Genomic DNA, 15,833 nt, shown 5'->3' with positions numbered 1-15,833 from the left:
GTATTTTTAATTTTATTTTATTTTTATATTGTAATCTAGTAACAATGTGCTTCTCTATTAGGGATTTATATGTTAACCTCTATGTGTAATAACTATCATAATCTGAAAGAAGTAATAAGCATAAGTGATATTTCAAGATCTCTGCAACAACTCTCATATGAAGTGAAAATATCTGATTGCTATTGGTGACACAGGCACAGGTATTGTTAGTTTGTCACCTACATTCATAACTGAAAGAAATGCTAATTCAACTAGAAGGTAGTGAAAAACATATGCAATTCTTTACCAGCAAAATTTTTAGATGCCCTGAATTCCATGGCCTCCAGGATAAGAACCCCAGAGTAGAGGGTTGAAACATTAGAATCCTAGCTGAGAGAAACGGTAGGAAACACCAGCTCATTTTACAGATGAGCAAAGTTTGCTTCTGAAGGTTTGAGAAGATCTTTAATTTTGTGATGTACCTTACAGGTTCTAGTATTTCATATTTGGTCTTATTGAGAAGTCAGTGAGGAAAGTAAGAGTGACAATTTTGGACAAGTGTCAGCTTGGCACACGTTTTGATTTCCATCATTTATAAACTGAATGTGGAGAAAAGAAAAATAAAATGGTCCAGTCTGCAATGGGTCTCACCTCCTGGACCACTGGCTAGGGCTTGCTTCTTTTTCCCTCACCCCATACACACAAGTCCAAAAATATCTCTCACCTTCTAAAAGGACGTCCCTAAGCATTCAAAGAGGCACTTTTTTACTTAGAGCTAACAATGAAAATACTGAGGTGGGGAACCCTCATTTAAACTTCAATAGGTTCTTTCAAAGAAAGTAGCCACTCTTCAATGGAAGGTTTTCACTGACATTTTGACATATATAATACATTCCCAAACACCCCTGGAGCCATGTGGACTCCTGGCAGACAGACTGCCAGCAGATGTGAGCGGATACCATCCCCCAGCTTTACTCTGACCTCCTGCCTCGTGCCCAACTAGGTTATTCAAGCCCCAAAAGGAGCAACAAATAAACTGTCTTTACCATGTCTTCCCAGTGAAGACAATAGAATGTCTGAAGATCTGAAAATCTTTTATATCATTTTAGATCTGGAAGTTACCATAGAGCTGATCTGTCAGGGGTACTAACAGTAATTTAAGTAGGATAATTCTTCCTTATGCAGAAGTATCTGAATCCCCTACACTAAGAGCCAGAAGCATTTTTTTTTTTTTTTTTTGAGATGGAGTCTCCCTCTGTCGCCGAGGCTGGAGTGCAATGGCGCGATCTCAGCTCACTGCAACCTCTGCCTCCTGGGTTCAAGCAATTCTCCTGCCTCAGCCTCCTGAATAGCTGAGATTACAGGTGCGCGTCACCATGCCTGGCTAATTTTTGTATTTTTAGTACAGACAGGGTTTCACCATGTTGGTAAGGCTGTTCTCAAACTCCTGACCTCGTGATCCACCCCCATCGGCCTCTCAAAGTGCTGTGATTACAGGCATGAGCCATCGCACCCGGCCAATTCTTCTTATCTCTATTTACACATCATAAGAGAGTTGCCCACAGCCACACAGCTAGAAAGTAGAGGAGATCAGAACCTGCGTGTTTAGCACGAGTTCCACCATGTTACTCCCTCAGCCACTCAGTCATGTCTGCAGGGCATAGAGCAATTGCACTTTCCACATTTAAGACCCAGGTGCCACCCCGATCTTCTGAGTCTGACAAATGCCATCATCCACACAGGTGCTGCAAGGAGCAGCAACATGCTTCTACGCTTTCATTGGCTTTGACATCATCGCCACCACTGGAGAGGAAGCCAAGAATCCCAACACGTCCATCCCTTATGCTATCACTGCCTCCCTGGTCATCTGCCTGACAGCATATGTGTCTGTAAGTACCAGATGCTTGCGGGACCCTCCTCACGATGTGGCCCTGGCACTGAGCTCCCTTCTCTGTCAGGAAGGAGTCCTTTCCTATGTCTTCTTGGTGTCTGTCTTTTGTCCCCTGTAGCCCCATTCCCCACTCCCCATGACAAGAAAAAAATTAGGACTCCAAACTGAAGAAGAGGAGAAGCCCCAGGACTTCACTTCAGCCTTGGCCTTCATTCCCACCCCTCCATCCTCACAAGCTCTTGGTGTCTGCTGCTGCCCCAGGGGCTGGTGTGCAGGGAATGGGCTGCCATCCAAGGAGCTCAGGTCATAGGCTGGCAGTAACGGGTGGATGTGCAAGCAAAGGCATTGTGGGCCTCTGTGCACTTTCCTCAATGCTCTTCTGTCTTCTGGGAGCTTCCCGGCAGCAAAGAGGCGAGGCTCCCTGCACAGCGGGGAGAGAGAATACATTGTCCTCTACAAACTCTCTTCCCCTTAAATCTGGGGAGGAAAGTGCCATTTCTTTCAGCTGTTGCTCCCTCTTGTTACACCAGCTCAAATTCACCTTCAGGTATCCCTACCTAGGGGAGCCTCAGGATAAAGACTTCAGCCTTGTCTTCCTCAGGATCACGCCCCTGAGACACTCCTCATGCTCTGATGCTTGCTCTCGGAGCTCCCATCCCAGAATTTCTATCACAGAAATAGCCCAGCTGCATCCAACATCCCCCTCTGCCCCTGGCAATGGAGAAAATTGGCTCACAGGCCAGGAAGTGTGTGGTTCCACAAACATTCTCAGGTCCTGAGGGGCGCACTCACTTGGGTCACCACAATTAGGAAAGAGCTGGCAGTGGGGGGTGCTGCTGCTGATCAGCCCTGCTGTTTCTCTTTCCCAAAAAAGACATCTTTAGCAACTAGCTAAGGAAGCCAGACCAATTGATCATTAAGGCAAGCTGCAAACAGGATTGTTCTAGAAGCCAGAGAAAAACACAGGGCAAACTTGAGGGTCGTTTACAGACATTCAGCTGCCTACCCAGAGGTTTTATGGGTGCCTCAATTATCACCTCCCACTAGCACACACATGCAAGGGGTTTCATCGTGTCCATACATACCCTGATTATCCCAGTGGGCAGAATGTTGAGGGAGGGGTTGCGGGGCAGAAGGAACAGCAAGGACACTCTGCATTTCCCCTTCTACTCCTCCTTCATTCCCGCCCTTCCTCCAGGAGTGGGCCCTTATCACACACAATAAAGTCAATCATCACAGTGCCCTCCTTAGAATAGCACTTTATAGACCACAGAGTACTTCTATGATCCACCAACTTTTTACCCATCCTGATCTAACTCAGGAGACTCCCTGAAGCTGGAGGAGGCTCAATCCCACTCTCCTCCAGCCCACCCTGCCCCATCCCCAGAGGAAATATTGCAAGTGGTTATGTTACTAGGAAACATTCTCTTTCATACTGCACAGGCCTTAAACACGCCCTAGGAGCTGTTTGGTCTTGTACTGGTCAGCAGGCAGCCCCTCCCCCACCATGAGAAGAACAAGGTTGCTGGGCTTTGCTAGGACATCCTGTCCTCCTTGGTGGCCCTTGGCTCCACTGGAGGATCTTGGCTCCAGAGGAATAGGCAAAGAAATGGTCTACATGTGACCACCCTCTTTCCTTCAGGCTTTGAATCCCTTCTTGATGTCAATTTGGCCTTCATAGGCCTGGGGGGCCCCCCATATCTGGCCATATGACTGGTGGCTCCATTGCCTATGGCCAATTCTGAAGGCAGGGATGTTAGGCAGATCAATAATATGCGAGGGGAGTAGGTCCTGGGAGCCCCCAGTTAAGTGCTTATCACCTCCCCGATGCACATGCATGCCAGTGGCTTTGTCCTGTCCATACCCTGATTTCTCCCCGTAGGCAGAGTGTTGAAGGAGGGGTGGTAGGGTAGAGGGAATAGCAAAGACATTCTGCTCTCTATTTCCTCTTCTGCTCCTCCCTCGCATCTCCCTCTTCTCTGGGGGTGGACCCTTATAGCACACACAGTAAATGATTCCTGATTAAGCAAAGCCATAGTTGTCTGACAGCCATATAATCAGTAGGACTTGATTCTGTCCTGATGCCATCATTTGTCTGTTGGCCTGCCTGGATCCTAGGACTAAGCTAGAGAAAGGAAATAGAAATATGAGTCCTTATCTGGGTCCCAACAGTTAATAGGCTATAGACCTCTTAAGCACTTATCTTTGGAGATTTTATCTCTGGTGTTTCACAGTGAGAGGGAGTACGGATAAAACCCTGTAGGACCAGAAAGCAGAAGAGAAATGAGAGTCTTGTCCACGTGGGCAGGGTGCTCATGGTCCCTGCCAGGCCCTGGTTGCAGGGCATTGGCTGCAGCTCCTTCCTTCCAGAAATATCTGCTCTCCACTGAACTGTTAGCATAGCTCTGCTCATGGGGCTGAAATACCTGCAGACTTACTCCTCAGATATCAAAGGACCAGAGAGATAGAGAGTTTCTGGCCCAGTCCACTAAATTCACATGTGGGGAAATAATATTGAGCAAGGCCTAGAGGCCAGATGACTGGTCTACAGTAAAGGCACATGCCAGCAAGTGAATGGATCCAAACTGCCATGCAAGCCTCTGCCTCCAGGGGCAGGGCTCTTTCCTCTCCCGTGGGGCCTCTATCCATGCTGTTCTTCCCCTGTACCTCCAGCCCTGTCTTCTCTTGTTTTAACAGGTGAGCGTGATCTTAACTCTGATGGTGCCATATTATACCATTGACACGGAATCCCCACTCATGGAGATGTTTGTGGCTCATGGGTTCTATGCTGCCAAATTCGTAGTGGCCATTGGGTCGGTTGCAGGACTGACAGTCAGCTTGCTGGGGTCCCTCTTCCCGATGCCGAGGGTCATTTATGCCATGGCTGGTGACGGGCTCCTTTTCAGGTAAGGGCTATGCTCCATGAAATTTATCCTGCTCTGCCACGTCTGTCCAGGGAGAATGTCTACCCACTGTCAGACTGACTGTGATTTTGACATCAGTGCCTTTCACATGGACTGTGGACCTTGTTATGTATCCTGAAGAAAAGTCTGAGTAACAGAGCTCAGGCCCTGAAGCAGCCCCTAGTTTAACTCTGCAGTCCCTTAATCCAGCACAAGCTGATGTGTGTCCCCCCACTGTCCTCCCTCCTGTCGACATTGCGTGCTCCTTTGTGAAGATGATGGGGCCAAACTGCTGTACTGGGTGGCCTCCAGAAGGAAGAACCATCCTAGGGACATCTTAGGCCTGCCCTCACATTGAGGCCTGGTAACTGCCCCACTCTCCACAGCCCCTCTGAAAATGAAAAAAAAAAAAAGTCAACAAAGAGTAGATAAGACCCTCTGAACAGATCCTAACAATACCTGCAACACCAGCTGCCATTTATTGAACATTTGTGTGTCCTGGGTGCTGTGTATACAGTATCCCATTTAGTCCTCACAGTAACTCTATTTTGCATATGAAGTCTACTAGGACTCAGAGAGGTGAAACAAAATTGCCACAAATCCCTCAGCTACTGAGTGGCAGGTCAGGATTTGATCCCAGAACATCCGACTCCAAAAATCAGACTTTTAACCACACCAATATATTGGCAGTTCTTGCCCCCTACATTGGCCATGAAGTGGCCCATCTGCCCATGGTACAAAGGGGATGTGGCCCCAGCCCTTTGTTTCCAGCATGAGGGGCCTGCTGAGAAGGCATTCTTCAAGTGCACAAAGCAAGGAGTAAACCGTGGAGGCCAAGGAGCTCTCAGGTGTGCAGAGGGGGCCGGTTCAGGGACTTTGTCTCTGCAGACATCATCTTCTGACTCATTTCCCCTGCATACTCTCTGAAGCCATCACCAGATCAGAGCTGCTGTGATTAGGTTGCCGAACAGATCAAGAGGGGCCTAGGGTGATGGAGGCGTGGGAACTTCACACATCCAAAAGATTTTTCTGCTGTCAAAGAAACTAACAGGAAAGATACTGGGGCTTCAAACACATTTACAGTCTTGTGTGAACCATAAAAATAAGGGACCAGGAGGAGAGGGGAGAGGAGAGGGAGCCTATTGCACATGCCATTCAGTCGCTCTTCTTGGTCTCTTCTTCAGTCAGTAACTAGCTGGACATAAATCTGTATCTACGAGCACAGTTTCTCAATTACTGTGCTATTTTGCCAACTAAACCCATGAACTTTTGTTATAGGTGGTGTCTCAAGCTTTGGCATAAATCAGAATCCTCTGGAGGTCTTTTAAAGCAGTTTGCTAGGCCTCACCCTACTATGATTCTGGTATAGTAGTTATTGGGTGAAACCTGAGAATATACATTTCTAACAAGCTCCAAGAGAATGCTAAGATGCTAGTTCACAGGTCAGGAGGACCCCCAAGCAGGTCCATGACTTCCTCCAACCATCACTTTTTCACGCAGAGCCTGGGCTTCAATCTAGGTTTCTGAAAGACAGACCTCCTAGGTTCAATCAACCCTTCCCATTACATAATGATTAGGAACTTTACTAAAGAACTTTGCCTTAAAATCAAAGAACTAGTCTAGGCACAGTGGCTCACACCTATAATCCCAACACTCTGGGAGGCTGAGGTGGGTGAATCATGAGGTCAGGAGTTCGAGACCAGCCTGGTCAACATGGTGAAACTCTGTCTCTACTAAAAATACAAAAATTAGCCGGGTGTAGTGGTGCATGCCTGTAATCCCAGCTACTCGGGAGGCTGAGGCAGGAGAATCACTTGAACCCAGGAGGTGGAGGTTGCAGTGAGCTGAGATCACGCCACTGCACTCCAGCCTGGGGGACAGAGTAAGCAGAGTGAGACACCATCTCACCAAAAAAAAAAAAAAAAAAGAAATCAAAGATTTAAAGTGAATTCTTTTTTAATTATATACCAAATCCTGGGGTAGGAATAGCAGCTGGATTTAAAGTAGTGAATGCAGAAGTAAATTGGTGGAGCAGGACCAGGAGGAGTTAATCACACCAGCCTATTGATAGTTCTAGCTCCCTATGTTGGCTGCACTGGAATCGGTCACTGTAGCTCACCATTAACCCTCTGCTTGCCCGGCCCCTCCAGGTTCCTGGCTCACGTCAGCTCCTACACAGAGACACCAGTGGTGGCCTGCATCGTGTCGGGGTTCCTGGCAGCGCTCCTCGCACTGTTGGTCAGCTTGAGAGACCTGATAGAGATGATGTCTATCGGCACGCTCCTGGCCTACACCTTGGTCTCTGTCTGTGTCTTGCTCCTTCGATACCAACCTGAGAGTGACATTGATGGTTTTGTCAAGTTCTTGTCTGAGGAGCACACCAAGAAGAAGGAGGGCATTCTGGCTGACTGTGAGAAGGAAGCTTGTTCTCCTGTGAGTGAGGGGGATGAGTTTTCTGGCCCAGCCACCAACACATGTGGGGCCAAGAACTTACCATCCTTGGGAGACAATGAGATGCTCATAGGGAAATCAGACAAGTCAACCTACAACGTCAACCACCCCAATTACGGCACCGTGGACATGACCACAGGCATAGAAGCTGATGAATCCGAAAATATTTATCTCATCAAGTTAAAGAAGCTGATTGGGCCTCATTATTACACCATGAGAATCCGGCTGGGCCTTCCAGGCAAAATGGACCGGCCCACAGCAGCGACGGGGCACACGGTGACCATCTGCGTGCTCCTGCTCTTCATCCTCATGTTCATCTTCTGCTCCTTCATCATCTTTGGTTCTGACTACATCTCAGAGCAGAGCTGGTGGGCCATCCTTCTGGTTGTTCTGATGGTGCTGCTGATCAGCACCCTGGTGTTTGTGATCCTGCAGCAGCCAGAGAACCCCAAGAAGCTGCCCTACATGGCCCCTTGCCTCCCCTTTGTGCCTGCCTTTGCCATGCTGGTGAACATCTATCTCATGCTAAAGCTCTCCACCATCACATGGATCCGGTTTGCGGTCTGGTGCTTTGTGGGTAAGCAACTTCCTTTGGAGCCTTAAGAGTTCCCTTTTAAGGTCTTAAGCATGCTTATCCCAAAATTACCTCCTAGCTGGACTAGGCAACTCCGTTCCCAGAGAAATCTGGCTGGTTCTATGGACCCTTGTGTTCCGCCTAAGAGTCAATAAAGCCAGTTGTCCCCTTTCTGCCTGTAATGTTCTTAGTCATTGGTTCTGGAAAAATGATGTTGATTAATCCATCGCTTTACTGAATTACTGAAAGTTCTTTCTATATCAGGATAATTAATACCAGAAAAAGTCCACTTAAAGTGAATCCACATTTTTAAGGTGACAAAAATAGCATAGTATAATTGGGGTCAGGGCATTTGGATGGAATTTTATCATAGAAACTAAGAATTGTAAAATGAAAAACTATCTTAGATTTCACAAAATTAAATTAAAATAGCAATTATGCTCTCATTTTTAAATGAACAAGGTGTGAATTAAGTGTGGATTTTTTGGCATAATTTTTCTGACAAAATTGAATCATGGCATCATTTAACATCTCTCACTTCATACTGACTTTTGTAAAATATTCAAAAGTTTTTCATATTTCCCAAGGTCCTTTCTTCATTCATTGACATTCCAATCATTCACTTGGGAAGTACCCATCATGCCACCATCCTTACTGATTTTCTCTCTCCTGCTGGTAATAACTAATATGACTCTGTTAGGTCCTCAATTGTCTACAATTTTGGGTGTGAATTCAAATTGTTCTCTAAACTCACTTTCACGGACTTCAAGAAGTCCTGTACCTTCTCTAAGATTTCTAATTTTACTTTGTGATCCATTTCTATTGTATTTGCAGTACTTGCTTATCATCTAGGACAATCTCTGATGTTCATGAGGTGGCTGGGGATTGATGCTAGTAAGAACTTGAGAAGTGTAATGGAAGACTCATTTTAAAGTTCCTTAGTCACTATTTGTATGTCCTCTGAACAACTTGGTAACCCTGGGGTCTCTGATAACAAATTCTTAGCTAAAGAGGATCTTTAGAAGCTCTGGGGAATAGAAGAGTAAACCCTGCCTAAAGGAGAGGCAAGACAAACACACGAGTCACTTAGCCCAAGAGAGGCCAAAGAGACTCTTTTTGTTGTTGTTGTTGTTGTTGTTATTTGTTTGTTTTGTTTTGTTTGTTGTTGTTGAGATGGAGTCTTGCTGTGTCGCCCAGGCTGGAGTGCAGTGGCTTGATCATGGCCCACTGCAACCTCCGCCAACCAGGTTCAAGCAATTCTCCTGCCTCAGCCTCCTGAGTAGCTGATATTACAGGTGAGTGCCACCATGCCCTGCTAATTTTTGTGTTTTTAGTAGAGATAGGGTTTCACCATGTTGGCCAGGCTGTTCTCGAACTCTCAACCTCATGATCTGCCCACCTCAGCCTCCCAAAGTGCTGGGATTACAGGCATGAGCCACTGTGCCCAGCCCACAGAGACTCTTAGTGATGAGTGGCAGTGCATCCACTCCTAGAGATCAGGAATACACTTGTTCAACATGTGTCCTCCGTGTCTGGAGCAGGGTGCCCGCAGTATGTGCTCAAAAATACTTCTTAAATTATTATAAAGTACTCTTCAAAGGGGAAAAAGGAAAACTTCCAGTCAGAATTGCCAGAAAAAACTTGGAGGGGGTAGAATACAAAGTGGCCCTATAAGTTAAGATATAGATAGAAAGAAGTGGGGGAAAAAGTAGCAACCAATGGAAAGGGCATATGTCTTCCCCAGAGGCCTGACTCCTTGCTTCTGAAGGCTGCTCTATGGCTTCCTGTAAGCATTTTGTCCCAATTTTTCACTATTCTAAGTCCCCCTGGTTAGACTTCAGGAGGATTTCTTGAGAGGACCCCACTGACTCATCAAGATTTTAACCAATTTTTATAACACATTTACAATCTCTTGGCTGGGCATAGTGGCTCACGTCTATAATCCCAGCACTTTGGGAGGCCGAGGAGGGCAGATCACCTGAGTTTAGGAGTTCGAGACTAGCCTGGCCTACATGGCAAAACCCCATCTCTATAAAAAATGCAAAAATTAGCCAGGCGTGGTGGCAAGTGCCTGTAATCCCAGCTACTTGGGAGGATGAGACAGGAAAATTGCTTGAACCCAGGAAATGGAGGTTGCAGTGAGCTGAGATCACACCACTGCACTCTAGCCTGGGAGACAGAGCAAGACTCCATTTCAAAAAATTTTTTTAAAAAAATTAATATTTTAAAACTTTTTAAAAAAATACAATCTCTTATCTCTAAACATTTTTCCACTGGAACATGTAGCTAGCCAATGCAGATTCTACTCTGGATAGAAGTGATGGAAGTGGGTAGAAATATTTCAGTCATGTATTTGTCAAATTATTCAAGACACAGACACAAATATACATAGACTTATTTATTCATAGACTATTAAAGCTGAAAAGGGCCTTCAGTGTCTAGTACAATGCTACCCACAGTGTGGTGCCCATTCCATTGGTAATATTTTCAACTGGTATTAGAAAGCATATGAATGAACTTTTAAAAATATTGTACAGTTATTGTACATTTTCACCTGGGTTAGAAAAACCACACATACACATGAATCTGGTGATTTCACAAATACTATTACTTGGAAAGAGACTATAGATGACTTTTTTAAATTTAAAGTGTGAGTCATATTAAAGAAAAAACATTAGTACTACTAGTACAGATACCGTATGATTCATAGGAATAGTAATAATGAGCACTTGTACCGTGCTTATCACATATCAGCCATTATTCTGAGGGCTTCACTTACTTATTTATGTAATCCTCACAGCAATCTCTATTTTACAGATGAGGAAACTGAGGCACTTGCCTGAGGTCACATAGCTAGAATATAGCAGAGCCAAGATTAGAACTCAGGGAGTGTGGGGCCAGAGGCCATGGTTATAGCCTAAATGGTTATATACTAAAAATGTGGTATATAACTAACTGGAATTGGAGAAATACAGATGTAGTCCACCACCTTCCCACTTCTCCCTCTCTCCATTTAATGGATGACTAAACTGAACCTCCAAGAAGTTAAATAACATGCTCAAAGTCAACAGGAAGTTATTCAAAGAGCTATTACTAAAACTCAGTATACCCATGCTCAAATCTGGGGCTCCTACTACCCCACCAGGGTGCCTCTGAGCAGACTCATTTCATTAGAACGTTCGATAGAGCCTAACACATAGCATCAGGGCTGGCCTCATGGGCACACAGCTGTGCACAGGGTCCCATGCTTGGTTTAATGCTCTGCTGCTGCCATCTTGAATTCTTAATAATTTCTGAACGAGAGGACCCATGTTTTCATTTTACATTGAAAACTCTATAGCCAGTTCTGCAGAATATTTATGGCTCCTGAAGCACCAGAGGCATTTTGCAAAAACAGTCAGGTGGCAGGGGCCCTTACCTTTGGAGTCAAACAGCACCAACTTCAAATCACAGCTCTGCCCCTCCTTTGTCTTGTGACTTTGGGAAATTTACTTAACTTCTTTGGGCCTCAGTTTACTTATCTGTAAAAATGCAGATAATTTTATCAGCCTTGACCTGGTTATTCTTTGGGGCTTAAATGAGAAAATGTTGAGAAAAGCAACAAGAAACATGTATTTCCTGCCTTTCTTTTAAAAATCTGAAATGATTCATTGTCCACAAGTATGGACAGACTGGCTATCATATGCCAAAGCACGATGTGAACCTGCAGCGACTCAGGCTGCCCTTCCAGCTATCAGGCAGAGGAAAACTCCCTGAGCGCCTTTTGTAATCTTGCTGATAGCACAAACTCCAAACTCCCTCCAGAAACTGCTACTCGCTGACTCAAAAGAATGCCACCCTGCAGAGTGGGGCTGGCCAGCCAGAGGGCACAGAAGTCTGCAGTTCAACAAGCACCCGGTGATTCTGATGCACAGCCCGCAAATCACATTTGGGAAGGACTGCTAGTATTTCTGGGCACCTGCTGCTAACTGCTTTAGTATCATGATTTTTGAAGGCTGCTATATGACTAAGTTTCACCCAGAACAAAGATTCTCAACCCTAGCTACACATCAGTATCACCCTGGGTTGCTTCTGAAACATTCTAAGCCCAGGCTTCCACAACAGAGATTTTCTGATTCAATTGGTCTGGTGGCCGAGTATTGAGGAATATTTTTTAAGTTCCCAGGTAATTTTAATAGGCAGCCAAGTTGACAATGATCTAGATCAATGGTCCTCAATGTGTGACCCCAGACCAGCAGCATCAATGTCATCGGGGAACTAGTTAGAAATGTGATTTTGAGGCTGGGCGTGGTGGCTCATGCCTGTAATCCCAGCACTTTGGGAGGCCAAGGTGGGCAGATCACCTGAGGTCAGGAATTCGAGACCAGCCTGGCCAACATGGTGAAACTCCGTCTCTACTAAAAATACAAAAATTAGCCAGGCGTGGTGGCGGGCACCTGTAATCCCAGCTACTCGGGAGACTGAGGCAGGAGAATCTCTTGAACCCTGGAGGCGGAGGTTACAGTGAGCCAAGATTATGCCACTGCACTCCAGCCTGGGCAACAGAGCAAGACTCTGTCTCAAAAAAAAAAGAAATGTGATTTTTGAACTCCACCCCAGGTCTACTGAATCAGAATCTCTGAGAGCAATTTAGGGTTTAACAAGCCCTCCAGCTGACTCAAATGCGTGCCACTGCTCTAAGGGGAGCATAGTTTTATCAAGCAGGGCAGACAATTTAATTACAAAGACTTGTTTTTCAAAAACTATTTTTTGCATATATAAAATATATCCAACCCACAATCCCAAACTGGCTATAAAATCCTTAATGGTCTTATAAGATAAATATGTCACCTCTGAACTTCTGAGCCTCCAAGATATCAGATTTTTCTTAATCTGTCTATACATAGTGTAACTTTCTGGGGGAAAACAGTAGAGATATTTTTAAATGGAGCTGCTTATGAAACTGAAGATTTACATGATTAGGCTGAGTCATAACTTGATAAACTTCTTAAGACACATTTTTTTATCCAAGCTTTTCTAAATAAATCTTAATTGCGGCATTTTTGTAACAATGTTTTGCTAAGCTTTTGACCTTCAGAAGAACACAACTCAGAGAGTAAAACGAGGCACAAGCCCCAACAAGATTATCCAGCACATGTTTCTTTTCCTTCAGACAAGAAAAGGAATACAAACACCAAATGTGTATTAATCCCAGTAAAGTGAGCACAAAGCAGCCTTCATTTTCCTTTTAGTTGATGCAGTTTTGTGAAAGAACCTCTCAAGGGGTTGGGCAGAGTCTCAGGGAACATGGAACTAGCAGGGGCTCAGTGAGAATGCTGCACCATGGTATCTTCCAGGGCATCCTTCGGGCCTGCTGTTCCCTGCGGGTTTTTATTATAATGTAACCACCTGTTAGAATAGCTTGCCCTTACCATAGGATTTGCCATGTAGGAATTTTTTCAGTCTTTCTGAGGAAATCAAATTCTTGTCTGTAGATTTAGAGGACAGGACTTGTGATACGGGCAATGGACCTCATGAATCCTATCTCAAAATAGAAATATCCCAAAGAGAAGACACACCTCATGGTCTATACCTGAGCTATTATCTGAAATCCAACTGGAAATTGACCCAAAGCAGCCAGGTGAGAAAAAGAAGAAGAGGGAAAGAAAGAGCAATGAATTGGGACCTGATAACTAAATTCTTGATGACATGTCCCATAAATAAGCTTGAAATTCTCCTTGGAGGCAGAGGAAAAAAAAACGGGCTCTTCCAATGTCAAAATTGTGCTCAGACGAGCAAGAATAATCCTGAAGGCCAGGATGAGGTTGGCAACAGGGCTGGTGGGATTCCAAGGAGGGAGGGTGAAGGTAGAGTGTGAAGGTGGATCATGCAATCGTGAGGCTGTCTGCTGGCAGAGGTGCACTGCCAGATGCAGAGCGGGCGGAGCACTCACAGGGCTTTGCAATCAGTGGCAGCTGAGACACTGGCTCTCCTGTGATCCCAAAGAATGAAGAGGTGGAGGGCACAGAGCTGGCATGCGCAGCTTACCTGGAACAGAATTCAAGCCACAACAGAGGGGATGTTTGCCTTCTTTCCCTCAATATTATGTTTGTGAGATTCACGCCCATTGTTGCTTGTAGTTTCAGTTTGTTTGTTCTTGTGGCTGTCTAGTCTCCCACTGTGTTAATATACCACAATATATTATTCATTCTAGTGTCCAGGGACATTTGGGTTGTTTCTAGTTGAGGGCTGTTACAAACAGAGCTGCTGTGAACATTCTTGTACATGTTTTTGGTGGACACGCGGACATGTATCTCTTGGGTTTCTGTTGAGTTAGAATTGCTGGCTCAGACTACCAGGTTTTTTCATATTCTTTAACAAGATTGCATTACTTCTCATGGCCATTATATACTGCAAATAAAATAAGCATCCCCAACCCCGTTTTGCAGATGAGAAACTGAGACATAAAGTAGCATGACTTCCCATTAGATCAGCTGCAGGGTCATGGAGAGAATCTCCGCCCAACTTCATCCTAAGCCTGCTCTTCCTGGCCATACCATATTAAACAAGCCTTGTTGTTATTATAGTCAACAGAGTCGTGGTGGTATTTTAAAAAATAATCAGCAATAGTGGGAGTTGGTGGGGTTGAGGTGGGGGTGGGAAGGATACCTTCTCATTACCACCCAGTCTCCCTTTCTGCTTCGGCAAATGTCTGTTTTGGAAAGTTGATCCCAGAGTAGTCAAAATAAAAGCCCTCTAGGCATAACAAAGTGCCTCAGCTATCTGCAGTGGGCAGAGCTTCCTGCTGGAAAGTGCACCCCAGCAAGAGGCAGCTCCACCCAGCCTGAGGTCAGGTGGCCCACCTCTCTCGGTTCTAAGTATGGAGCTTCATGGAGAGGACAGGGAGTTCCCAGGAACTCTGGAGATAGGGGACCTGGTCTGCAACCTAAGTGTGTGCCCTCAGAGTTGGAAATATGCTGTTATTGTTTGCATTACTCAGTCTCTTCAGAGTTGAGTTTTTGTTCTAGGATTTCTCCTGTATGATCAAGACCTCCCTTTCCCACCTCTCTTTCTTGTAGGTTTGGGGTCATTTGCTTAATTTTCACAGGATGGATAAACACAGGGGGGTGAGCAGGTATGTCACCTGCTGATGCCAAGGTACCCTAGTATATGAACGCAAGCTTAGCTTTTGTAAACCTTCCCTGGAGGCACCTGGGTGGGACAGGAACAGCCCTCAGGTTAGAGTTAAGAGATATGAGTCCCAATGCTATTTCAATTACTGATTTATCACACAGTTCTTAACTTCCCTGGGATGATGGATGAGAAAGTGCTTTTTTTAATATATAAAGTGCATTACAACCACAAAGTATTTAATATCATAAAGAAAGCCCATTCAATTGCTAAAGGCATGATTCTTGATCTTGTCTAGCCTGAACTTCTCATAGACACATTTTCCACTGGGGAACTTCTGTCTAGAAAAGAAGCCAAAGCCTCCCTTTGAATATTTCCCGTCACTGCAAACAGACTTTCTTTTTTTTTTTTTTTGAGACGGAGTCTTCACTCTGTCACCCAGGCTGGAGTGCAGTGGCACAATCTCAGCTCAATGCAAGCTCTGCCTCCCAGGTTCACGCCATTCTCCTGCCTCAGCCTCCGGAGTAGCTGGGACTACAGGTGCCCACCGCCATGCCCGGCTAATTTTTTTGTATTTTTTAGTAGAGACGGGGTTTCACCGTGTTAGCGAGGATGGTCTCGATCTCCTGACCTCGTGATCCACCCACCTCCGCCTCCCAAAGTGCTGGGATTACAGGCGTGAGCCACCGTGCCCGGCCTTTAAACAGACTTTCATAAGACTAACCACCATTACCTTTGACCAGGACAGGCATGCAGCCCACGTGCCCCAGTCCAACCATGTCTGTGTTAAAATATTGAAACTTTTTTTTTTTTGAGATGGAGTCTCACTCTGTCGCCCAGGCTGGAGTGCAATGGCGTGATCTCAGCTCACTGCAACCTCCACCTCCTGGGTTCAAGCAGTTCTCCTGCCTCAGCCTCCCATGTA

At 45.4% G+C, this 15,833-nt stretch overlaps 1 protein-coding gene and 1 long non-coding RNA gene across 4 annotated transcripts in view; one reads left to right on the top strand and one right to left on the bottom strand.

Moving 5' to 3' along the window:
• The window catches only part of SLC7A14 (solute carrier family 7 member 14), a 126,528-nt gene that overhangs the window by 97,986 nt on the left and 12,709 nt on the right, over window positions 1-15,833 (top strand). The window contains exons 5-7 of the mRNA NM_020949.3: window positions 1,722-1,868; window positions 4,568-4,776; window positions 6,924-7,801. Coding sequence (NP_066000.2) covers window positions 1,722-1,868; window positions 4,568-4,776; window positions 6,924-7,801 — 1,234 coding nt within the window. The remainder of the gene's footprint in view (window positions 1-1,721; window positions 1,869-4,567; window positions 4,777-6,923; window positions 7,802-15,833) is intronic.
• The window catches only part of SLC7A14-AS1 (SLC7A14 antisense RNA 1), a 287,921-nt gene that overhangs the window by 267,116 nt on the left and 4,972 nt on the right, over window positions 1-15,833 (bottom strand). For all 3 annotated transcript variants that reach the window (NR_135556.1, NR_135555.1, NR_135557.1), the window contains exon 2: window positions 11,217-11,319. This is a non-coding gene — a long non-coding RNA (SLC7A14 antisense RNA 1). The remainder of the gene's footprint in view (window positions 1-11,216; window positions 11,320-15,833) is intronic.

The sequence above is a fragment of the Homo sapiens genome, chromosome 3, assembly GCF_000001405.40.
Source record: "Homo sapiens chromosome 3, GRCh38.p14 Primary Assembly".
NCBI classification, from domain to species: Eukaryota; Metazoa; Chordata; class Mammalia; order Primates; family Hominidae; genus Homo; species Homo sapiens.
Note: the sequence above shows the minus strand (reverse complement) of the source record. Positions and strands in the feature narration are given on the sequence as shown.